This window comes from Homo sapiens, chromosome 12, assembly GCF_000001405.40.
Source record: "Homo sapiens chromosome 12, GRCh38.p14 Primary Assembly".
Classification (NCBI taxonomy): Eukaryota; Metazoa; Chordata; class Mammalia; order Primates; family Hominidae; genus Homo; species Homo sapiens.
Window position 1 is genome coordinate 112011947 of NC_000012.12, and position 24481 is coordinate 112036427.

The 24481-nt window shown below is 43.2% G+C and overlaps 3 protein-coding genes and 1 long non-coding RNA gene across 11 annotated transcripts in view, besides 7 other annotated features; 1 reads left to right on the forward strand and 3 right to left on the reverse strand.

Annotated features, from left to right (window-relative positions):
• TMEM116 (transmembrane protein 116) overlaps nt 1-1273 on the reverse strand; it is an 81938-nt gene extending 80665 nt beyond the window's left edge. For 4 of the 5 annotated variants that reach the window (NM_138341.3, NM_001193453.2, NM_001193531.2 and 1 more), the window contains exon 1: nt 1056-1219. The gene's annotated coding sequence lies outside the window, so the exon portion shown is untranslated. Of the gene's footprint in view, nt 1-1055 lie in introns of all 5 variants that reach the window. The other variant, NR_122119.1, reaches the window with a different exon arrangement.
• Nucleotides 195-1083: an enhancer, noted in NCBI's record as "H3K27ac hESC enhancer chr12:112449945-112450833 (GRCh37/hg19 assembly coordinates)". NCBI's record gives its function as "activates a minimal SCP1, AML or CMV promoter by ChIP-STARR-seq in primed H9 embryonic stem cells {active_cell/tissue: H9 hESC(primed)}" and the evidence as "EXISTENCE:reporter gene assay evidence [ECO:0000049][PMID:30033119]".
• Nucleotides 195-1143: a biological region, named in NCBI's record as "H3K27ac hESC enhancer GRCh37_chr12:112449945-112450833".
• Nucleotides 954-1143: an enhancer, noted in NCBI's record as "active region_7042". NCBI's record gives its function as "activates an Ori minimal core promoter by ATAC-STARR-seq in GM12878 lymphoblastoid cells {active_cell/tissue: GM12878}" and the evidence as "EXISTENCE:reporter gene assay evidence [ECO:0000049][PMID:35858748]".
• Nucleotides 1304-1383: a silencer, noted in NCBI's record as "silent region_4878". NCBI's record gives its function as "represses an Ori minimal core promoter by ATAC-STARR-seq in GM12878 lymphoblastoid cells {active_cell/tissue: GM12878}" and the evidence as "EXISTENCE:reporter gene assay evidence [ECO:0000049][PMID:35858748]".
• Nucleotides 1480-11503, forward strand: ERP29 (endoplasmic reticulum protein 29). Of its 2 annotated transcripts, NM_006817.4 has the most exons (3): nt 1480-1663; nt 7810-7948; nt 10204-11503. In NM_006817.4, the coding sequence occupies exons 1-3, from the start codon at nt 1520-1522 to the stop codon at nt 10704-10706; spliced, it is 786 nt and encodes a 261-aa protein (NP_006808.1). In that variant the 5' UTR covers nt 1480-1519; the 3' UTR covers nt 10707-11503. The 2 variants fall into 2 exon arrangements, with proteins under 2 accessions (NP_006808.1, NP_001029197.1); NM_001034025.2 differs by lacking the exon at nt 7810-7948.
• Nucleotides 1724-1813: a silencer, noted in NCBI's record as "silent region_4879". NCBI's record gives its function as "represses an Ori minimal core promoter by ATAC-STARR-seq in GM12878 lymphoblastoid cells {active_cell/tissue: GM12878}" and the evidence as "EXISTENCE:reporter gene assay evidence [ECO:0000049][PMID:35858748]".
• Nucleotides 2814-2953: an enhancer, noted in NCBI's record as "active region_7043". NCBI's record gives its function as "activates an Ori minimal core promoter by ATAC-STARR-seq in GM12878 lymphoblastoid cells {active_cell/tissue: GM12878}" and the evidence as "EXISTENCE:reporter gene assay evidence [ECO:0000049][PMID:35858748]".
• LOC124903021 (uncharacterized) lies at nt 6853-10204 on the reverse strand. Its single transcript, XR_007063464.1, has 2 exons — nt 8630-10204; nt 6853-7969 (listed from the first exon to the last, which is right to left on the reverse strand). It is a non-coding gene; the product is annotated as an uncharacterized LOC124903021 (long non-coding RNA).
• Nucleotides 14743-24481, reverse strand: part of NAA25 (N-alpha-acetyltransferase 25, NatB auxiliary subunit) — an 82095-nt gene continuing 72356 nt past the window's right edge. For all 3 annotated transcript variants that reach the window (NM_024953.4, XM_006719606.3, XM_047429557.1), the window contains 2 exons: nt 21287-21433; nt 14743-17707 (listed from right to left, as the gene is read on the reverse strand). In NM_024953.4, coding sequence (NP_079229.2) covers nt 17585-17707; nt 21287-21433 — 270 coding nt within the window. In that variant the 3' untranslated portion in view covers nt 14743-17584. The remainder of the gene's footprint in view (nt 17708-21286; nt 21434-24481) is intronic.
• Nucleotides 21257-21758: an enhancer, noted in NCBI's record as "NANOG hESC enhancer chr12:112471007-112471508 (GRCh37/hg19 assembly coordinates)". NCBI's record gives its function as "activates a minimal SCP1, AML or CMV promoter by ChIP-STARR-seq in primed H9 embryonic stem cells {active_cell/tissue: H9 hESC(primed)}" and the evidence as "EXISTENCE:reporter gene assay evidence [ECO:0000049][PMID:30033119]".

Here is a 24481-nt window from a genome sequence, read left to right on the forward strand (position 1 = left end):
TCACTCTCCTAGTTAAAACTTCTGGTGACTCCAAACCCTTTAGCTTGGTGAGACCCTTTCGAATCCGCCCCATGGAAGCTCAGTAATAATCAATCAAAATAAAAAAGAGCGGCAGCAGCTGTTGCGCCAGTTCGCCTTTACATAGATTCATCTCAACCAGTTCCCCAACATGCCTGTGCATAATTTTCCCATTGTTAGAAATGCCCTGTTTCTCTTTGCCTCATGCACGCCCCCTCTTATTTCAAGGTCCAGCTCAAAAGTCACCTCCTGTCTACAACTTCCTCTGATGCTCCTGAGCAGGGATGGCTGAATCTCTGTCTCTTTACAATAAGAAAATACGGTCTTTTTTTTTCTTTTTGAGACTGAGTCTCGCTCTGTCACCTAGGCTGAAGTGCAATGGCGAAATCTCGGCTCACCCCAACTTCCGCCTCCTGGGTTCATGCAATTCTCCTGCCTCAGCCTCTTGAGTAGCTGGGATTACAGGCACGCACCACCACACTCGCCTGATTTTTAGTAGAAACGGGGTTTCACCATGTTGGCCAGGCTGGTCTCGAACTCCTGACCTCAGGTAATCCACCTGCCTCGGCCTCCCAAAGTGCTGGGATTACAGACGTGAGTCAACGCGCCCAGCCGGAATAATATTTTACAGCAATTACACTGCACTGTTTAGATCATTATTCCTATGCCGCCTCCTCCCCCAACAAAGTGCGTGCCTTCAGCACACAACGGTCTTGTTTCTGCTTATTCCGTAGCCCCGCAGGCAAAGCCAGAGTCTGGCACAAGCCAGGGACCGAGTGACTACCTGCGGAACAGAATGATTAGAATTGCGTCTGGGGTTCCTGGAGGGTGGGCCTTGGCTGGGCGGATCCCAGGAGCCTGGCGTCTCCCAGGGGAGGCGCTCACCTCAGATCGGGCCTAAGAGGGCCCTGCTTGCCACACTGACCGCCAAGCCTGGCCAAAAAGCTCAGGGAAGCCGCGGAGCCACTGCCCGCCTGGGTCAGGGTGGTGACGGAGCCTGACTGAGAATAACGGCTGAACTTGACTAATAGACTGACCGAGGGTTGGAGCGGGTCCCAACCAACTGCCTGACGGCCCAAAGGCAGGAAGAAACGATGGTAGGCCTTGTCATCTTCGAAGGAGAGGAAGGACAGCAAACGAATTGCTATAGCGTCCCCATGCGCACTTGGCGCTTCTCCTCAAGCGGAGCAGGAACGGAACTGGGCGGACCCGCCGGAAGACTCGGCGAGTGCGCGCGCGCAGGAGCCCATTTTCCCGCCCGCAACGTGGCCCCGCCCTTTTACCCAGGCCCTACGCGAGCTTCGCCGAGTACGCGTGCGCAGCAGCTTCCCCTCCCTCGCCCCGCCCCTCACGTGGCCCCACCCTCTCACCCTAGACAGATGGGAGCCTCCTGGGGTGTCCACGTGAGCGCGCGTGAGTCCGCCCCCCCAGTCACGTGACCGCTGACTCGGGGCGTTCTCCACTATCGCTTACCTACCTCCCTCTGCAGGAACCCGGCGATATGGCTGCCGCTGTGCCCCGCGCCGCATTTCTCTCCCCGCTGCTTCCCCTTCTCCTGGGCTTCCTGCTCCTCTCCGCTCCGCATGGCGGCAGCGGCCTGCACACCAAGGGCGCCCTTCCCCTGGATACGGTCACTTTCTACAAGGTAACCGGGGCGGGGGACGTCGCGCGCAGGTGCCGCCGGGGCGCCCGGAAGAGCGCGCGCCCGTGGGGAGACGCTGGATTCCGGGAGCTGACGGGAGGTGGTCTGTAGCAACGGTCCCAGAGCTTCCCGGCGTCCTACAGGCCTAGTGGACTCTGAGCGGAGAATGTTATGACCACCGGGCATGCACGCTTCAGGGCCCCGGCGCACCCTTGCTTTTGCAGCATTTATACTTGCATCCACCCTTGCAAAGATGCAGCCGAGGGAACTGGGTGCCCCTTCCCTTCACCTGTGGGGAGAGGGCGGTGCCTGGCGAGATCCAACCCTCGAGTCCCAAGTGGGAGAACCGGAGGGCGGTGCGAGGTCGACGCCACCGGGCTCCCGGCTGTGGAAGCTGGGAGGGGTTGGCGGGGGGAAATGCAGGCGCGTTAGCCTGCGTGTCCGCGCCCCTCTTCCCAGGGTTGGATTGCAGCCTGCTTTGCAGTGTGCAAACAATGATCAGATATCATACATCTTGAATAGTGCAAGCGTGAAGAATAAGCTTCAGTTCAGCCACCCTGTAAAGCAGGGGTCCCCAACCACCAGGCCCGTCGGTGGCCTGTTAGAAACCGGGCCGCACAGCAGGAGGTGAGCGGCAGGCGAGCTAGCACTACAGCCTGAGCTCCGCCTCCTGTTACATCAGCTGCGGCATTACATTCTCATAGGAGCACGACCTTTATTGTGAACTACGCATGTGAGGGATCCAGGTTGTGTGCTTCTTATCAGAATCTAATGCCTGATGATCTGAGGCGAAACAGGTTCATGTCGAAACCACCCAACCCCGTGGAAAAGTTGTCTTCCATGAAACCAGTTCTTGGTGCCAAAAAGGTTGGGGATAGCTGTTGTAGGAAACATCTTGGGGTTGGCAACAAAATCAGTAAAATTGGGTCAAGGCATGGAAGAATTTGCCACTACCTCCGCCTTTCCCCCCTTCCATTTTTGCAGAATTAGGGATCCTGGCCTGAGTAAATGGACGGTTGGAAATGGTGGCTGAATGCAACACCGCAGTCCCAGTCCCCTCCTCTTGCACCTGTCTTCACCCACGAGCAGCTTTTAACTTCCTCTAGGAGATGGGCAAGCTTAGTGTTGCGAGAGAGCCAGTCATTTCATTTTCAGGTTTTGTACTCATTGTGGGGAAGTGAAACCAAGAAGTAGTTGTCTCCAGTGGTTGAAGTCTCCTATTTTCAAGCGTTCCCTGTCGTGGATTTGGCACTTGCAGCTCATTCAAGGCAAAGTTTCAAGAATTTAAAAGTGTAGGCCGGGCTTAGTGGCTCACGCCTGTAATCCCAGCACTTTGGGAGGCTGAGGCGGGTAGATCACCTGAGGTCAGGAGTTTGAGACCAGCCTGACCAACAAGGTGAAACCCCGTCCCTACTAAAAATACAAAAATTAGCTGGGCGTGGTGGTGGACACCTGTAGTCCCAGCTCCTCGGGAGGCTTAGACAGGAGAATTGCTTGAACCCAGGAGGCGGAGGTTGCGGTGAGCCAAGATCACGCCACTGCACTCCAGCCTGGGCGACAGAGCAAATACTCCGTCTCAAAAAAAAAAAAAAAAGTGTGGGCTGGGTGCGGTGGCTCATGCTTGTAATCCCGGCACTTTGGGAGGCTGAGGCAGGTAGATCACCTGAGGTCAGGAGTTGGAGACCAGCCTGGCCAACATGGTGAAACCCTGTCTCTACTAAAAATACAAAAATTAGCTGGGCGTGGTGGCGGGTGCCTGTAATCCCAGCTACTCGGGAGGCTGAGGCAGGAGAATTGCTTGAACCTGGGAGGTGGAGGTTGCAGTAAGCCGTCATCATGCCATGACACTCCAGCCTGGGCAACAAGAGCAAAACTCTGTCTCAAAAAAAAAAAAAATGGTGTAGGTGTGGCTGATTGGTTGTCAGGCATGCTCAGACACACCCTACAGCACCCTATGCTTTGGGGGCCTTTACTGGCAAAATGACACCCCTACCCCACCCTGCTCCATGGGAATCAGATAATATCACAGAACAAGTGTGACCCAAAGGGAAACTTTGCGCCATAAAGCTAACAGTGTTTTCTACTATTACCACCCTAGTCTAGGTCAACATTACAATAGCCTCTTCTCTGGTCTCCCTGCTTCCACTCTTGAGTCTCCACACAGTAGCCTAAGTTCTATATGACCTGACTCCTGGCTTCCCTCTCATCTCCCAACCATTCTCCTACTGTCTTTTGAATATTCCTTGCTCTTTACTGCCTTAGGATATGTTGCACTAGTTGTTCCTTGTGACTGGAATATTCTCTGCCCAAACTTTGAAAGGCTAGTTAGTTACTTCTCATCATTCGGGCTTAGGTTAAGTGTTTCCTCCTTAGAGTTCTTCCTTGATTTATCTTCCCCCCAGTCTAAAGTGCCAGTCACATTAATCTGTTTTATTTCTCCATACAGCACTCATCACTGATTTTTTAAAAATCTATTTTGCCATCTTTCTCTCTCACTGGAATATTATGTGCTCATGAAGAAGCTCCTTGTCTATTTTGTTCCTGATCGTCTGCGCTGCATAACAGATTACCTGTCTCATAGAAGGTGCACAATAACTATTTTGTTGCGTGAATGAACAAACGTTTTCTCCAGTCTCTTTTCAAATCTTCTCTTCCATCACGACTGAACCAAAAGGAAATGTACTAGTGTTCTGTCTGGCAGCCTTGTTCCATGCTTTGCCTTTCAGTGATTTCCAGTATCTTTTTTGTTGTTGTTTCTTTCCCTTCACCATCACTAGAATGTTAGTTTCATGAGCTAAGAGATGCCATTTTGTTCCCTGCTGTGTTCACTTAGTATGGTGCCTGGCAGGCCTTTAGTAACTTTTTACTCAATGAACGAATGAATGAATAATGAACTTATCTATACTTTAAAGAAGTGAGTTGCCTGATTATAGGTAATGGTAGAGCTGATTCCCACTAGCCCATTGGACACCAAGGGCTGGTAGGAAGTAGATGAGGAAAATAGACTTCTAAAGCTATCATTAAGAGATAACAGACCACTTCGGGAGGCCGAGGCAGGTGGATCACAAGTTCAGGAGATCGAGGTCATCCTGGCTAACACGGTGAAACCCTGTCTCTACTAAAAATACAAAAAAATTAGCCGGACGTGGTGGCGGGCACCTGTAGTCCCAGCTACTTGGGAGGCTGAGGCAGGAGAATGGCGTGAACACGGGAGGCGGAGCTGCAGAGAGCTGAGATGGCACCACTGCACTCCAGCCCGGGCAACAGAGCGAGACCCTGCCTCAAAAAAAAAATAAAAAATAACAGACTAAGATAACAAGAGAAAATTCTTTATGCAAATGTTTGCCATTCAAAACCATTCTGCCTTACCCTTGAAACTAAGAATGGTGAAAGTAGAAGGTGGAGATCTCTGAATTCTATTTTAATGTTAGACCACTGTATAATTATTAATATTATTCCATAATACAAGTGCAGGCCCTTGAAAGTAGGTATCCCGTGTTTTGCTTTTTAAACATTCTCCCCTTCCCCAACATGTAGCATCTGCTACAAAGCCTGTCAGAGTATTGTTCATTCATCAGATATTTTCAGAACATCTGCCACATTCCAGGCACTGTTGAGCACTAGGGATACAGCAGAAAACAGGTCAGACAAGGTCCTTATTCTCATAAATGTATTCTAGTGGAAAGGATGGAAAACAAGCAAATAAGGATTTCAGAGAGTGAGTAATGCACTGAAGAAAATACAGCAGGGTAATGATAGCAGGGTATGATGAAAATGAAGCCATATTAGATGGTCTGATTGGAGGAGTCCCCAGTAGCAGGGGACATTTGAACTGAGCCTTGAACGATAAAGAGATAACCATGAAAAGAACTGGGGAAAGGACATTCCAGCCAGCAGAGAGCAAATGAAAAAGCTCTTGAGTGGGAATAAGTTTCATGTGCTGAAGTGAAATAAGGCCAGTTGGGCCAGAGGGATGTGATCTTATTTGTATTTTAAGTCTTTCCTGCTTTTAGGCCCCCAGAGCTCAGGCTTTTTGGCATTTAAAGATGACTTGTTCTGGTGTCTTCTCCTCCCTCCTTTGTGTCCCTAAACAGTGTTAAATATTTTTAAAAACCAAGAGGACATCAGTACACTGTAAAGGACAAAGACTAACAAGAACATTGTATCTTTTTTTTTCTTTTTTTTTTTTTTTTTTGAGGTGGAGTTTCATTCTTTTCGCCCAGGCTGGAGTGCAGTGGCGCGATCTCGGCTCACCGCAACCTCCGCCTCCCAGGTTCAAGCAATTCTCCTGCCTCAGCCTCCCGAGTAGATGGGATTACAGGCGCCCACCACAACGCCCAGCTAATTTTTGTATTTTTAGTAGAGATAGGGTTTCACCACGTTGGCCAGGCTGGTCTTCAACTCCTGACCTCAGGTGATCCACCCATCTCAGCCTCCCAGAGTGCTGGGATTACAGGCATGAACCACTGTGCCCAGTCCAGAACATTGTATCTTTGCCTTCAGCCAGAATTATGTCAGCTTGACATAATTTTTTTTTTCTTTTTAGAGAGAGAGAGAGAGATGGGGTCTCACTCTGTTACACAGGTTGGATTGCAGTGGTGCAATCATAGCTCACTATAACCTCTAACTCCTAGGCACAAGTGATTTTCCACCTCAGCCTCCTGAGTAGTTTAGCTGGGAATACAGGTGTGTGCCACCATGACTGGCTAATTTTTTTTTTTTAAGCCAGCTATGTTGCCCAGGCTGGTCTTGAACTTCTAGCCTCACGTGATCCTCCCACTTCAGCCCCGCAAAGTGTTGAGATTACAGGTGTGAGCCACCATGCTCAGCCTTGACATGATTATTTACAGTGATTGCCTGTGATGAAAAAACTTGATAGGGATCACTTGGATTAGGAAAACAAAAAGTTGATGGAAGTGAGGAAGGCAGTGTTACCCTAAGGTGGCTTGTTAGATAAAACTTGTGCATTGGGAGAAACCATCAAAAGAAGTCCTTGGCTTCTTCAGTAAGTTAAATGTAGACTTAGCATATGACCACCACAGTTCCACTTGTATATATACCCAAAAGAGTGGAATACAGGTGTTCAAACAAAATGTGTTATGTGAATGTTCATAGCAGCACTATTGACAGTAGCCAAAAGGTGGAAACAACCCAAACATTCAGCTGATGAGTGAATAAACAAAAATGTGGTCTATCGTACAGTGTAATATTTATTTGGCCATAAAAAGTAACAGTGTGCCAATACATGGTACAACATGGACAAACCTTGAAAACATGCTAAGTGAAAAAAGCCAGACACAAAAGGGCACATATTGTACATTTCCATCAGAATAGACAAATCTATAGAGACAGAAAATAGATGAGTGGTTGCTGGGGCTGGGAGGAGGAAGACTGGGGAGTGACTGCGTAATGAGTATAGGGTTTCCTTTTGGGATGATGAAAATGTTCTGGCACTAGATAGTAACCTCTATGGTTGCACATTCTTAATGCACTGAATCATGCAGAATGTACACTTTTAAATGGTTACAATGGCAAATATTATGTGAATTTTACTGCAATTAAAAGTCTTGGCCCTGACAGTTTAAAACCCAGAGATCTAGCCAGAGGGAAGTGTAGTCTAGGGAGAAGACATTGTCCCAAGCCTGGCCTCTCACTAGCTTATCTGCCCTGAAATTGCTGGGTTCAAACTCTGGCCTATCTAGCCAAAGCGTCCTCCATGATGCCAACTCCTTTGTAGGTAGGTTTGTTTATTTTTGTCAGATTTCTTGTTCAGGGTTTACTGCGAAAGGCCTCCTGGGATGATGAGCATGACAGGGGCTGATGTAGTATGCAGAGGGTCTCCTTCACCTAACTGAAAGGAACCCTGAAGGAGAAGGCCTTAGTATGTCTGCAGCCTTGTTTATTCTGGACAGGGTTGTGTATATCTTTGATTAGTGTGAACAGGTACTAATGGGGTGCCCTGCATGTTGCTGGCACTCACTAAATTGTTAAATGAGTCAGTGGGTGAATGAATAAATATTAGTTTGTGAGAGCTTGCCTCCCTTGTGGGCTTGTTTCCACTCTATTTCTTAAACAGGGGCCCCTTGGGAAGGGGAATTAGCCCCAAAAGTCCCTGGAACACCCACTTGCTCAGCTCTATACGCCCTCAGGTCATTCCCAAAAGCAAGTTCGTCTTGGTGAAGTTCGACACCCAGTACCCCTACGGTGAGAAGCAGGATGAGTTCAAGCGTCTTGCTGAAAACTCGGCTTCCAGCGATGATCTCTTGGTGGCAGAGGTGGGGATCTCAGGTATGGACAAGTCCAGGACGGCTGGGGGGGCAGAGAGGGAGGAAGCTAGAAATCGTTTCCCTACTTGGAACAGGAATACCCAGCATCTTTCCTTCTGAGCCACTCTCAAGGAGTGTAAGTAAACAGGTTCATGGTCTCTAAAGGAATCTGCTGCCCACAGTAGGCTTAACCTGAGCAGATTTTGGGACCATGGAATCTAAGCTCAGCTGTACAGGTGCCTGAAGGGAAGGGAACCCCTCTTCCTTCACATTCCACCCCTCTCTGACATTAAACTGTGAGAACTTTGAGCTCTCCTTGCAGGGAACACTGGGCAGAGGGGGTGCTATGTCCCCTAGGGGACAGCATAGTCAGTTCTTCTGTCTTCATTTCAGTTTATGTACCAAAACTGTTAGGTTTTGGTGTTAGCTCAAATGCACTGATGCCACCACTAATCCAAGGGCACCTCCCAACCACAGCGACAGCTTTAATAGTCACCAGCATTTAGTGGCTGACAGGGTAAAGATCTGCACCCCCATTGCATTTTAAATCTTCACTTGAACTCTGCCTGAGAAGCAAGATGTATTATCTCCATGTTATACTTCAGGAAAAAAAAAACTGAAGCTCAAAGATTAAAGGACTGTGGGTGATAGAGTGGCTCATCCAGAGCTCCACCTAAGTGTTTAGTCCCAGGCAGGGGCTTACTTATTTCACTTCCCTCCCAGCTTGGATGCCTCCATTCCGTAGTAAGCTGGGAACTTAGTAGAGCGTCTGGTCCTGGGTAGAGATAGCTGGCACACCTCTCCAGGACAGTCAGTCAGATTTGACTCAACTTCAGGTAACTCCCTTGGTGCTTTTATTAGAATAATAATAATAGTTAACATTTATCAGATGTTTACTGCGTGCCAGGCCGCTGTGCTGAGTGTTTTACATGTGTTTCATCTTTGCAAGAGCTCTGTGAAGGAAGTCCCATGTGGTACTATTACCTCCATTTTTTCAAATGAAGAAATGGATGCTTAGAGTAACTTGCTCAAGATTGTGGAATTGTTAAGTGGCAGAACTAGGTTTGGAACCCTAGGCATCCAGTACTACCACTACTAGTAGTTGGTCTTAGCCGTTTCTCGGCAAAGTGTAAGAAACCAGTTGTCACAGCATCAGTCCTTGGGGCTGCTACTGCTCGTTAGGAAGGATGTTGCAGATACTAACAGCAGCTACCACATATTAAGCATATAACCCTGCCAAGTATCACGCACATATTCCCTCATCCGGTCCTCCCAACAGCCCCCATGTGGCAGGGACTGTGTTCCTTCCCTACCACATGCTCCCCTTTCTCACCCAGCTCCAGCCAGACTGGTCTTTGTAATCCTGAAATTTCCTGAGCTTAGCCCTGCCTCAGAGCTTTTGCACTTGCAGTCCTTTCTGCCTGAGACACTCTTCCCAAATCTTCACGTAGCTTGCTCCAGGACATTCAGGTCCTTTAGCTGATGTCACCTTCACAGGGAGGCCTGCCTTGACCACCTGAAGTGGGCTTTCTTACCCACTTTGTCACATCGCGCTGTTTTGTTTTCCCTGTGGCATTCATCACCTGTGTTTATGTGTTTGTTATGTCTCTTCTCTCCCTTAGAAGAATATGAGCTTAATAGTCTTTTTTTTTTTTTTTTTTTTTTTTTTGAGACAAAGTCTCACTCTGTTGCCCAAGCTGGAGTGCGGTGGTGGGATCTCGGATCACTGCAACCTCCACCTCCTGGGTTCAAGCGATTCTTCTGCCTCAGCCTCTTGAGTAGCTGGGACTACAGGCACGCGCCACCATGCCCTGCTAATTTTTTTGTTATTTTTAGCAGAGACAGCGGTTTCACTATGTTGGCCAGGCTGGTCTTGAACTCCTGACCTCGTGATCTGTCCGCCTCGGCCTCCCAAAGTGCTGGGATTACAGGCATGAGCCACCGCACCCGTCCGAGCTTAATACTCTTAATCACAAGTAGACCCCCAGCACCTAGAACAGCATCTGACACATAGTGGGCATATAATAAATATTCAGAAGAATCTCCATTTTTTCAGATGAAGAACAGTTCAGAGAGTTTAAATGATTTGCCTAGTGCTGCATGGCTAGGAAGTGGCAGAGGAGGAATTCAAACACAGGTCTGTATGGTTGCTCCTCACTTTGAACCATTACACGGCCAAGAAAATTCTTCTTTCCCTCAGTTCAGCTAGGTCCCATAGCAATTTTCTGCCCTGAGTTCCTTATGGTCTTGCTTTTTGTGTCTGGTTTCTGCTCACAGATTATGGTGACAAGCTGAACATGGAGCTGAGTGAGAAATACAAGCTGGACAAAGAGAGCTACCCAGTCTTCTACCTCTTCCGGGATGGGGACTTTGAGAACCCAGTCCCATACACTGGGGCAGTTAAGGTTGGAGCCATCCAGCGCTGGCTGAAGGGGCAAGGGGTCTACCTAGGTATGCCTGGTTGCCTGCCTGTATACGACGCCCTGGCCGGGGAGTTCATCAGGGCCTCTGGTGTGGAGGCCCGCCAGGCCCTCTTGAAGCAGGGGCAAGATAACCTCTCAAGTGTGAAGGAGACTCAGAAGAAGTGGGCCGAGCAATACCTGAAGATCATGGGGAAGATCTTAGACCAAGGGGAGGACTTCCCAGCATCAGAGATGACACGGATCGCCAGGCTGATTGAGAAGAACAAGATGAGTGACGGGAAGAAGGAGGAGCTCCAGAAGAGCTTAAACATCCTGACTGCCTTCCAGAAGAAGGGGGCCGAGAAAGAGGAGCTGTAAAAAGGCTGTCTGTGATTTTCCAGGGTTTGGTGGGGGTAGGGAGGGGAGAGTTAACCTGCTGGCTGTGAGTCCCTTGTGGAATATAAGGGGGTAGTGGGAAAAGTGGTACTAACCCACGATTCTGAGCCCTGAGTATGCCTGGACATTGATGCTAACATGACCATGCTTGGGATGTCTCTAGCTGGTCTGGGGATAGCTGGAGCACTTACTCAGGTGGCTGGTGAAATGACACCTCAGAAGGAATGAGTGCTATAGAGAGGAGAGAGGAGTGTACTGCCCAGGTCTTTGACAGATGTAATTCTCATTCAATTAAAGTTTCAGTGTTTTGGTTAAGTGGACCTGAAGCCATTCTTTTTTCTTTTCAAATTATACTTTCGTCTATGACCTGCTTTCCTCTTTGAATCTAAGCTGGTATAGACTCCACTTTCCCAGGGTAACAAACTATCCTCATAACACTGTGGAAACTGGCATACCTTTGTTATTTTCCAGTGATATTCAGACTGACATGGATTGACTGTCAATGGTAAAGTTTGTCTATTTTCCAGTCCTTAAAACTCAATAGCAGTATTGATGAATATATTGAACCAACATTGATGGACCATGGTGTAATTATTTTCCATGCTTTGTGAGGTACACATAGCAAATTCTTAGTTTTACTGATATATTCTGTGACTTGGATTTACACAGCTAAATGATATAGTCCGATTTCAAAATTAAAAAATATTTTCCATCTAAATCACTATCACTAAATAAATACTAACTTCTAGAAAGCAGAATAAAGAGCACTTGTGCCAACATTCACATCTTTTCTTCAGACTCAGAAGCAGTTATCTGCAAAAGTGAGCTTCACGACAGCTCTACTTTCATATTTAACCATTTGAAAATGTCATGAGACCACAGCTCCTGAAATATATCTAATTGCACCCACACAAAGAATGGAGTTGGCAAATAAGACCTTGAATTATTTTCCTCCATTTTATCCAGGTTGGTATATATTTAGTTCCTGGAAACAAAAAATAGAGGAAATTCCATATGTTGAATTGGATGGGACAAAAAATTGTGGTAGCTTAGGCTAACAGTTCAAACCAAGGAGGTAAAAAGTGTTTAAACCTAAACACCCACCTGCTGACAGCTTATGTACTCTACATATAATGAAAGAATATAATAATATTTACTATAATAATTTCTACATTTTTACTTCAGTTCTCACTGAAACTTCTGGAAGATCTTTTTGGATACTTCTAACTGGTAAATTTGCTTTGGCTGTTCTAGTGTGCTCCGTGTAAACGGGATCACTTCCAAAGAGCAAAGTATTCACTGTTTTATGGAAATTAGAATGAGACAACAAATGGCAGGTAGGGAAAGGACTCTAATATTAAATGCATCCAGAGTCCCTGAATGAAGACTAATCTTGATTTTCAATTGTAAGAAGCAGGAAGGTGACAGTACCTCCATGGGCACGGCACTGGATGGGTTCTGGCTGGATATGGTTATTTACAACCCCAGGGCCTTGAGTTGAAGAAACCTGAGCTATTGGGCGGAACTACATTATCATATGTCAGAGGCCCTTTGTTACCCAATAGTTGTTTTCATTAAAGGTGAGCCCTCTTTCTAGAGTCTTAAGTGATTTGCATATGTCACATAAAATACAGTCTTCCCTGACCCAAGTCAAATGGATTCCTTTACCTCTTAGAATTTACTAATATTGTGGCTCAAGTGCTGCTATTCAGATTCTAATGAAGACTATGGACTGGATTCCCAGAATCAATCAAATACTTATAGTTATTTTTTTAAGAGATGGGCATCTTGCTTTGTTGCGCAGGCTAGACTTGAATTCCTGGGCTAAAGCGATCCTCCCGCCTCAGCCTCCTGAGTAGCTGGGGAGTACAGGTGCATGCCGCTGCACCTTGTTAAGTATTTCAATTTTAAGGGAATTTCCTGATAACCTGAAGCAAAGCAGACACTGGATCCAACATGAATTGTGTTTAAGGAACTTGCAAGTTATCTCAAATGGTGCGAAGGGTAATTTACAAATAGTTCTTGGTAATTGGCACCACAAAAAATGTTGGAGTTGGAATATATTAGCAGAGATTATACATAGGGAACTAATCTGGGAATATGAACACGGCCAACAAGACTTAAGAAGGTGAGGGAGATGGTGAGGGGGATCTGGATTTTAGCTCATTTCCTCAATGCTTAAGGGAGTTTGAATCGTTTGCAGGAGAGTTCGATAATTTCAATATTAAACAGTAGTCTTACCTGCAACAACTACTTTTCTCATTTGTAAAATAGTCCAGTATCTGGGCCGGTGCGGTGGCTCATGCCTGTGATCCCACACTTTGGGAGGCCGAGGCGGGCAGATCACTTGAGGTCAGGAGTTTGAGACCAGCCTGGCCAACATGGTGAAACCCCGTCTCTACTAAAAATACAAAAATTAGCCGGCCGTGGTGGCAGATGCCTGTAATCCCAGCTACTCAGGAGGCTGAGGCAGGAGAATCGCTGGAACTCGGGAGGCGGAGGTTGCAGTGAGCCAGGATCGCGCCATTGCACTCCAGCCTGGGGGACAAGAGAGAAACTGTCTCAAAAAAAAAAAAAAAAAAAAAAAAATAGTATCTGAGGCCTAAATTAACTGGGCTATATGGAAGCTGGAGGTTGCAGAAAAGCTCTGCACTCCTGAAGCATAAACTGCCATAGGAACCCCACAAATAATTTGTATAAGCATTTGGTTCATGGTAGCTTACCCTCCAGTCATACTGTAAAATACATGTCTGCACCAAGACAGGAACAGCATCTAAAAAAACAGGGCACATAAAAAAGCATAAACCTGAGCCCATCTCTCAAGAAAATTAAGAATGGCAGTGAGGTATACCCAAGTACCTATCTTTTGCTAAAGAAAAACCTTGGGAGGCTGAGGTGGGCAGATCACGAGGTCAGGAGTTCGAGACCATCCTGGCCAACATGGTGAAACCCCGTCTCTACTAAAAATACAAAAATTAGCTGGGTGTGGTGCCACACGCCTGTAATCCCAGCTACTCGGGAGGCTGAGGCAGGAGAATCACTTGAACCCAGGAGGCCGAGACTGGTGAACCAAGATCGTGCCACTGCACTCCAGCCTGGCGACAGAGCGAGACTCCGTCTCAAAAAAATAAAAGAAAAACCTTGGGATGGAGTTAATTCATAACTGAAGAAACAGGCAAAAACTGACTCTTTGGGGCTCATACAAGACAATATCACAGGACAGAAAGTAAAAAAGAGCTAAGTTCCTACTTTCACTGTGTTGTCAATGTACCTGAATAAGTTCCGAATCCCAGCTTGTGGGTTCGAGTACCCTTGGATAAATCATGTCATCAGCCTGCCTGAAATCCTCTGGTAACTTCCCACTAAATTTAGAATAAAATCTCATTCCTTCCCCGGACTACTAAGTCCTGATGGCTCTCATCCCTACTCAACTTTCTATCTCAATCCTACCCCTTTCATTAAGTCCCAGCCACTTGAACATTTTTTCACTTCCTGGAACCGGCTCAGCAGTTTCCTGCCTTGGGGCATTTGCATGTGTGTTACTTTTTTCCTGACAGTTCATCATTCAGATCAGAGGTCACCACTTAGGAGGTCCTCCTGTGACCCATTCTGAAGTGACCCTCTAGACACACTCAATTCACATACTGTGATTTACATTATTAAGCAGGATGTAATTACAAACTAATATTTTTATTGCCTCTTCCCCACCTCACAGCCACTAACTAGGATATATGTTACTCACTTACTAACTAGGACACAGGGTCTCACCAGAGCCTAAAGTGGAATCTGCTATATGCTAATTTAAGTGTTCAATACATATATGTTGAATTAATAACTGCAAGTACAGAAGGTACTAACTTTTGAGTCAAAAGGACTAGCTGACTTCAAATAAAAATTCTAAATTCTCAAATATTAAAAATATGTTGGGATATAGCCCTAAATTCACAACTGAGATGAATTACACCATTCAGAAGGTTGTGGCTTCTAAGAATCTGAACAAAAAGGAACCAGGCAGAAATGCCAACTTAAAATGAAAATGTTTATATAAATTAACCCATCCAGTTTAAAGTAGATTTGCTATGCTTCACTTACTTAAGGAAGAATATATACTTCCTATATTAATAAATCACATCAAATAAGTAGGAAGTTTCAATAACAAGCCTGTAGATACATTGAAACCCCTTTTTATATTAAAAGTTAAAATGAAAGACAAATCCAGATTGAACATAGTGATTGCAAAATATAATGCAATTTTCAACAATTAAAATTATGAAAATATACAAAATTGATGGGCAACACAACTAGGCATTTGTACATTTTCCATTATGTGGAGAACACTACAAGTTTCTCTACCTTTTATCTACATCAGATAAATGATTTAAACCAAATGTTTGCTTTGGAGAGTCTTAACTTAGGATCTCAGTAGTATAAAAAGCAATAATTTTTCAGTCTGTAAACAGTAGTCGTGATTTTTCTCCTTTCCTTTTTTAAATATCAGTTTACCACACAAAAACAAACAAAACAAAAAAACCCATACAAATCAAAAACAGCAGCAGCAGCAATGGGTTATTTGGGAATTCTCTTCAAATACCAATGGCATACGATTGCTGGGAGAGGGTGCTTTTTACTCATGTAAGAATATATATATATATATATTTTTTTAACTGTACACAATTTATAGTACATGAGGGTTTCCAAAAGAACAGATTGATAAGAGATATTGGCCATTTCTGCATAATTTCATTCTTTTTACAATTATCTCAAAATGTGAAAGCTGGATCTAATTGAAATGCTACATTTAGTAGGAAAATCAGCAAATAACAAAGGAAGCATAACCTCAACATAACATTATTTGTCATTAAAGCCAGTAGAGGTCCCAGATATCTTTAGGCAAGAGACTGGTTAGGAAGACCACTAGAGTCACACACTGTCCCTGAGGACCAAGGCTAGCCCACTGAACATACATATGCTAGATTGATCATGGTCAGTCGATAGACTTTTTCAAAGAGCATTTCTACAGTACAGTACTTTTTTGGATATTCAGAGAGACATCATTTCAAGAACACACGCCATACACATGTACCCCACCCTCCCCAGCAGACACACACAAAGTTCCATCTTAAACAGGCCATAGTTTTATGAAAGAATATGTTGTCATTACATGAAATTCAGAATTAACCACAATTTTCCATTCATCTTGTTCAAGACAGTTCTTCCTTTTGGGATAGGGTATATGACCAGCTGTTGCTACTCATATCAAAAATAAATTTTTGAAATTAGTTGATGGACTAGGATTTCCAACAAGCCTTATTTTGAACAGGTAATGTAGTAATTGTTTAAAATTTCCTTGGAAGTTTAAGCACTGTATCAAATTATGAATCTAAGAAAGTCAAAATGAAGGGACAAAATGCAATTACTTTGCGTACACAGATATTCCCAGCTCTCTTGGTTGCTTTTAAAAGAAAAAAGTACCACATTTCACTGGAGCAGTGCAGGTTGGAAAGCACCTTTAAGGTCTTCAAGACCAATCCTCCATTGGATGCTTAATTTCCTCATCAAATTCATTTCTTTGCTCTTACAGAATTAAACTTGAACTATATTTAGGTAACAGACCAAAAACAGAAGCAGGGATTTAAACAGAAAAATATTATCAAAGAAACTGCATAAATTGTAGGACATTTTCAAGAGCAATTTTTACCTCTTCTATCAGACCAACCACTGATAGAAGAAGCTAGAGTCTTGGGGACATCCAGGTGAACAAAGTAAACACCATCCTGTTATAATTCTCTAAGTTTGAAGAAAGTAGTCCAAACCTCAAACCCACTGAATAACATTTCTTTTGCCAGCCTAAAACTTAAAGCCTAAGGCTAAATCCATAATATTACATTCCTTCCTTCCCAAACCCCCCACACTTAAAACATTAAAGTATTAAATCTTAATTTTCAAGTCATATATATATGTGTATATATATATATGTATATATATGACTCACAAAACCAATGAAATAAGTATCATACTTGCCTGCATAAATTATGTGCACCTCTCTTCTTTGAAACAGTCATTCCTATCTTTCCCAAATGTATGAAAGACAGAAAGCTAGTCCTCAGCGGGCTTAATAAGTGGTCTGCACTGCTTTCCCCTCTAAACAGCTATAAATTAACAGAGCCTTCCTTGCCTTCTTACCTGAGATTTTTAACTCTCACAGAAGCTAGGATGGGGATGTCTTAACTATCAGACAAAAACTAGCCAAAAACTAAGTGCCTGTGGTCATCCAAGTGGTGCCCTTCTATTGCGGGTGCATATGCCAGATCTCATCTAAGGTCCTTTGTGTACCTGCCTTGGGTTCTGTGGGAGCCAAGTAGCTGAGAAAGCCTCAAAACAAACTTACTGCTGTGAAAAGGGGGTCTGTTCCCAGGCATGGTCTCCCCTCCACTTCTTGTGGCTCAAGGACCAGACCAAAAACTCTCAATGTTATTTATAATGGAAGGGCTATTCAGTTGCTATGAGGTTGATGCTTTATGCTTAATTTCTATTGCTGTTTTTATAGACCCCCCGCTCCCCTGAAAAGATGTTTCTGGTGATGGGAAGAAGAAAAGTAGGGTTCTCTTGTTGCTGCCATATGCATATGAACATGTATAAAAAGTGGTCAAACCCAGATGAGGGTCCCGCTTCTGGTTTATATACAATAATTTAATCAGTTGTATATATTTAACACCTAAAAAAATTCACGATCAAAGTCCTTCATGCATTTTATGAGGAAGTTCTGGATTAAAATCATGGTCAACCAGATGTTGCTTTTGCCTGGGAAGATGGTGTCATATTCTGTTGCAGAGTCATCAGTGCCCATGATAGATACTTCCTTAAATTTTTAGTTTCTTTGTGGTCTCAAGTCTTTTTTTCAGCAGCTCCCCCATTTCCAGAAGTGAGTGCAGATAACTGCTCTGCACCTTCCCTTGCACAGTCTTTGAAAATTTTCTCTCTTCCTATAAAGGAGGAGACAAGAATAATTAGTCTTGTTTAAAAACCATCCCCCCAGATTCTAGTTCTCAGATAAAAGTTAAAGCTGCCATTACCTTTGGTCTCATTGCAAGCTCCATCAGAACACAGTGGGTCATTTTCAATTGCATAAAATGCAAAGAAGGCAAAAGGTCATCACGAATGGGTATTTTTCGATGTGATTCTTCATGGAAACCCTATTGCTTTAGCATCATTACTCTTTCAAGTACCCTTTGTTGTAAGTTATATAAGGTAGAAAAACTGGGCCAGGCACGGTGGCTCACGCCTGTAATTCCAACACTTTGGGATGCCCAGGCAGGTGGATCACTTGAGCCCAGGAGTTTGAAACCAGCCTGGTCAACATGGTGAAACCCCATCTCTACTAAAAATACAAAACTTAGCCAGGCATGGTGTCACACACCTGTAATCCCAGCTACTTGGGAAGCTGAGGCACGAGAATTGCTTGAACTCTAGAGGTAGAGGTAGTAGTGAGCTGAGATCGTGCCACTACACACCAGCCTGGGCGACAGAGTAAAGCTGTCTCAAAAAAAAAAAAAAAAAAAAAAAAAAATTAGAAGAAAAACTGAGATTTCTGATCACTACTTTTTAATCAATAAAAACAGAAAATTATGACTAGTTTGGACATAAAATCCCTACTATTTTGTTATAACCTGTGCAAAGTGGAAATTTTGAGATTTCTGATTGTTTTCATCAGAAAAAAGTAGAAATTTATTACTAATTTGTACATCATCATAGCCACTTTTAATAATGGCCTCAACTTTACCAACTCCATCATTTCCAGTTACAATATTAACAAGTCTCCTCCATATTGACAAAGCCCCTGAGTTCAAGAGACCAACTATATATTCTTCAATATGAGTTATTATTTGCTGGCAAATGTTTGCTGTAGTAGAGATCACAAAAAACAAAAGGGAAGGGGTGAGTTCTCACAGAGAAAGGAGGTTGGCTGAAGACTGATTAGGTTTACATGAAGTTGAGTGCTGCAGAGCCTAGAACTGTAGAAGAAACCGGGAACATACTTTCTGACCCAACAATACTAGTACTTCAGACCTAATTTTCCTTAGAAATACAAATGTGCATAGAAAGGTGTGCACAAATACATTTCACTCGGTAACATATGTAAAAGCAAATATAAAGAAACAACCTAAAATGTCCAACAGCAGTGGTGCATTTATATTCTGCAGCTGTTTAATGAACAAGATTGATCCACAGGCATTAGCTTGAACAGATCTCTTGAATATAAAACTGAATTTAAAATTTTTTTTTTTTTTTAAAAGAGGCAGGACTCACTAAGTGACCCAGGCTGGTCTTGAACTCCTGAGCTCAAATAATCCTCCAGCCTTGGGCCTCCCAAAGTGCTGAGATTACAGCCATGAGCCACTACACCTGGCCGAGTTTACATTTTTTAAAGTACAAAATAATACAATAATACTGTATATTTTCTCTATGAATATAAATACACACAAAAAGGTCCTAACACACAGCCAGTTTCACTGGGATACCCCATAGGAAGGAAGAAAGGGAATCAGGACTAGAGGTCACAGTCCAGAGGCCTTATTCACAGTGTTTCAAATTTAGAAAGGGAGGAAAGAAAGCAGAGGAGCCTAATGGAAACTGAATTGAAGAGATTTTTACCTTTAAAAGACAATTAGCCAAAACTATATGCATCAGGTATTTGGTAGTGCTCAGTAACTATATGAAACATGACTTTAACAACATAAGGCCGATTATTGCTTTGTTTAATCCTTGCCATAATCCTATGAAGTAGGCATTATTATCATTTCCATTTACAGATAAAGAGATTGAAGCCTAGAGAGGTTAGGTAACTTTCCCAAGGTCAAAAGACAAGAACAGAAGCTAGGGCTTGAAAAATCCAGAGAGTATGGCCAAGTTAAGGATAACCTCTAGAACTCTGAAAACAAGAACTCTTGCTCATCATTCCAGGATGCAGACAGATCTTTTAACATAAACAACCACTTGATAGTCACAACAGGGCTATTGTGCCTATCACCTTCATATCTAACAGTACTTCCCGTATACCATAAGCTCTGGCCCTGCCAACTGTGTCACACTGCGCCACAGAATTCACTTTCCTGCCCCTGTGCTTTTATCTGTGCCTCCTTCTGCTTGGGATCCTTTTCCTACATTTCTTTCTACCTGGTGAAAACCAATTAATCTTCCTCAAATGTCCCCACTCTTCATTAAAGAAAGCAGACATGTTCATTTTGAAAGGAGGTACTTTTTCACTCACTAGGTTCAATATGAACATGTCTGCTTTTTTTTTTCTTTTTTTTGAGACGGAGTCTCATTCTGTCACCCAGGCTGGAGTGCAGTGGCGCAATCTCGGCTCACTGCAAGCTCTGCCTCTGGGGTTCACAACATTCCCCTGCCTCAGCCTCCCGAGTAGCTGGGACTAGAGGCGCCCACCACCACGCCCGGCTAATTTTTTTGTATTTTTTTAGTAGAGACAGCGTTTCACCGTGTTAGCCAGGATGGTCTCCATCTCCTGACTTCGTGATCTGCCTCCCTCCGCCTCCCAAAGTGCTGGGATTACAGGCGTGAGCCACTGTGCCCAGCCCATGTCTGCTTTTTTTAATCAATCTTTGGTAATGTGAACTGCTCTGAGCCCTTTCCCACAGTAAGCACTCTGTTCAAAGTCTAACGTTTTTAAGCTTTACAAAAGAGGGGCTTACAATCTCTTAAGGCTGGTGTGCTAAGGAAAATTCTATTCATTCCCTTCCCTATGAAGGTCTGGGGCTATGATGATGGCTGCCCTCAGGTTACTGGATAAATTCCCTCATCAGCAGTTTAGCTCAGCAGTTTAGCTCAGACAAACTCCCGGAGGGAAGCATTTTCTTAAGATCAGTTTCATCACTGGACCAACAGGCTAGAAACAGACGACTCCACCACTGTCCTTCTTGCCCCTACCAAAATCCTAAACCTACTCCAGGCCGGTGAATTAACATTTACAAAAAAGAATCGTCATTTTAAGGGCAAAGGCTTTATAAGGATTTTGCTAACTAATAGAATTTGAAAAGACCTAAAATAATATCAGAAGACATTTGATGGTGGTACCTTTGATTCCATACTTGGTTTCATTCCCTTTTTGGTTGGCTTGCTCTAGCCTAATTATTACTGACATAATTACTTCTCATGTCCAGCATTTCTCCTTTCTCAGGTGATAACTGGGTGGCAAGGAAGACAGCTAACTCAGCAGCAGGTAAATTCTATTCAAGAAGATTGTCCCTGGATTTCAAAATATGGCTGGTTCCATGTTGCTCAAAATGCTGGCATTAGTTTTCATAGTAAAAGAACAACCCCAAAAATGCATAGAAAGGAGGACGTATGGGGAGAAATGAAGAGGGGAAAAAACCTACCACCAACAACACAACAAGAAACTACTGCCAAGCACCTTCTAGTCACAAGTCTTATAAAGAGGAAATGATAAATTGAACTTTAACTTGTCCTTGTGATAAAGATGAGAGAGAGAGACAGAGTGTTTGTGTGTGTGTAGAAAACATTGCCGATTGCCTACAATCTCTTACCGGTGAGAGAGAAGTGTCTTCTAAAATAAGTTCTTCAAGTTTAAGTGCAATTAGATGTGTTTCAAGCCCTTTAATATGATCCACAACATTGGAAATTAAAGTCTGAAGCCCAGTAACATAGTCTTGGAAACTGGTAAAGACAGGTGGCTGGGAAAAAGATTAAAAAAGAGTTGAAACATTATCAAACATATTACCCATATCTACATCACAAAAGCTACTGAAAGATGTGAGGGAATTTAAATAGTGGCATTTCAAACCAGTGGTTTCAAGTGAATGAATGGTACTAAAATAACCAGCTAGACATTTGGAGATACAAAATAACACAGTAATATTAAAATAAATTTCCGATAGATTAAATACTTAAATAAAAAAAAATCCATCAAAGCACTGGAAGAAAATTAGGTAACAACTTCTGCAATCATGACACTGACAGCTGAAAAACCCTTTCTAAACATCACACAAAGCTAAAAACCATTAAAAAGATTATCCTTGTTTTTAAAAATATTACTACATTGACAAAAAAAAAATCACTCAAGTTAAAAGACAAATAACAAACTGAAAAAAAAACTGCATCACCTATGACAGGGGATTAGTAACATTATTATGTTAAGAACCCAGTAGCTCAACACATATAAATAGGAAAAATATTACTACCACAATAAGAAACTTGGACAAAGAATAGAAGACATATCAAAGAAATCCAAGAAACATGTGATACAACTAAAAAACCTAGCCAATCAATTAATAAAGCTAGCTTTTCACTCAAGAAGTATTCTTGGACAGTTCAATATCAATAAAATTTTAAAAATCAGTATTAGAAAAAGGAGATACCAATATTCACCTACCAGATGGTTAAAGATACATACTCAACACTGTTGGGGATGAGTACAAATGTATATATGCATATACATTTATTAACTGTATAAATGTATATATACAGTTAATTTCAGATCTAAGAGCTATCCTAAAGAAACTATATTATAGGCCAGGTGTGGTGGCTCATGCCTGTAATGCCAGCACTTTGGGAGGCTGAGGCGGGTGGATCACTTGAGGTCAGGAGTTCAAGACCAGACTGGCCAACATGGTAAAACCCCATCTCTACTAAAAATATGGCCAGGCGCAGTGGCTCACGCCTGTAATCCCAGCACTTTGGGAGGCTGAGGCAGGCGGATCACTTGAGGTCAGGAGTTCAAGACCAGCCTGGCCAACATGGTGAAATCCCATCTCTACTAAAAATACAAAAATTAGCCGTGCATGGTGGCAGGCGCCTGTAATCCCAGCTACTCCGGAGGCTGAGGCAGGAGAATTGTTTGAACCTGGGAGGCGTAAGTTGCAGTGAGCCGAGACCGCGCCACTGGACTCCAGCCTGGGTAACAGAGCGAGACTCCGTCTCAAAAACAACAACAACAACAACAACAACAACAACAAAATTAGCTGGGCGTGGTGGCACACGCCTGTAGTCCCAGCTACTCGGAAGCCTGAGGGAGAAGAATCGCTTGAACTCAGGAGGCGGCGGCTGCAGTGAGCTGAGATCCGCCGCCACTGCACTCCAGCCTGGGCGACAGTGAGACTCTGTCTCAAAAAAAAAAAAAAAAAGAAAAGAAAAGAAATTATATTATAAATGTATCTTTGTGAATCTGTCTGTATCAATAGCAGCATATTTATAATATTCAAAAATTAGAACCAACAATTCATCAATATAATTATAGCATATTAATATAACAGTACAATATATAACCATTAAAAGTAATGAGATATATCTATATTTACTGACATGAAAAAATGTCCAAGATACCCTGTTATATGAAAACAAAAAGGCAAGTTACAGAACCTTCTGGATAGCAGGTTTGTTTACCACGAAAATTTTCCCAGTGGTTATTACTGACTGGTAAGTATATGAATGATCTTCACTTTATTCACACCTTTATGGGTTACTCTGATATCAGAAAAACCATTCTCATTTTTAGAAACCAGAAAGACAACAAAAAACACTACAAAAGACAATTCCCAAAAAGCTATCTGACATGTTCTAGGGCTGAAAGCTTTCATTAGAAGGAGAGCAACAAAGCCAATCTGACCTATACTTTCAAACTTTGCCCTCCTTTTTTTTTTCCTTTTTGTCTTGCTATGTTGCCCAGCCTGGTCTTGAACTCCTGGGCTCAAGCTATTCTCTCACCTCTGCCTCCTTAAGTGCTGGGATTACAAGCATGAACGACCAGTGCCCAGCCTCGAACTTTGTACTCTTGATCAGTTAAATCATCTTTGTCTCTGTTCTTGTTCTTGTTTAATTCTCCTGAATAGAGTGAAGGAGAGTAGCACCCTCATTCATATCTAAATACCCTTTGTTTGTGAATGAATAGTAACACTCAGCAGAGCATCCAATCTAAAGAACTCCTGGATTTAACTGAATTGTTCAGAAAGTCAATTTACAACTGAAACATCAACTTTCTTTTTTTTTTTTTTTTGAGACAGGGTCTTGCTTTGTCATCCAGCCTTGTACAGTGGTGCGATCACAGCTCACGGCAGCCTCAATTTCCCAGGCTCTGGTGATCCTCCTGCTTCAGCCTCCTGAGTAGCTAAGACTGACTACGGGCATGTGCCACCATGCCCAACTAATTTTTAAAAATTTTTTTGTTAAGACAGGGTCTCATTATGCTGCCCAGACTGGTCTCAAAACTCCCGGGCTCAAGCAATCTCCCCACCTTGGCCTCCCCAAATGCTGGGATTATAGGTGTGAACCGCAGCACCCAGCCAACATTTTCAAATGATAATGATTATTATAATGCTATAGCAAACAAAAGACCCCCATTGATAGTAACAGCATAAACTCAAACCTTAATAAAACAGCACATCATGAGCTGTAATGAGCACTAAATTATTTTCCTGTGAAATGGAAAAAAATGTTACTGTTTTTCACATTCAAAAATTAAATCAATAAAGATGGGGAGAGCCCTAAAACTGAATACAAATGGAAATAAACTTTATATGATATTAATAAAAAGTAATCTCAGTTTTTAATTCCAGTTTACAGAGTATCTTAACTGTCTATACTCACTGGAACGTATTCTAAGGACAAAAAGAATTGCAAAACATTTGAACTTTAATGAGTTTGTTATTGGAACTAGTAGTGGAACTGACGTATGAATTCCCAAAACTATTTAGTATTTACTGTGAAACAACAAATAAATATATTGA

Bases quoted from the DNA above. Each gene is read 5' to 3' on its own strand.
- ERP29 (NM_006817.4), top strand. From the start codon at position 1,520: ATGGCTGCCGCTGTGCCCCGCGCCGCATTTCTCTCCCCGCTGCTTCCC. The intron at 1,664-7,809 runs GTAACCGGGGCG...ATACGCCCTCAG, and splicing joins ATACGGTCACTTTCTACAAG to GTCATTCCCAAAAGCAAGTT. The intron at 7,949-10,203 runs GTATGGACAAGT...TTCTGCTCACAG, and splicing joins GGCAGAGGTGGGGATCTCAG to ATTATGGTGACAAGCTGAAC.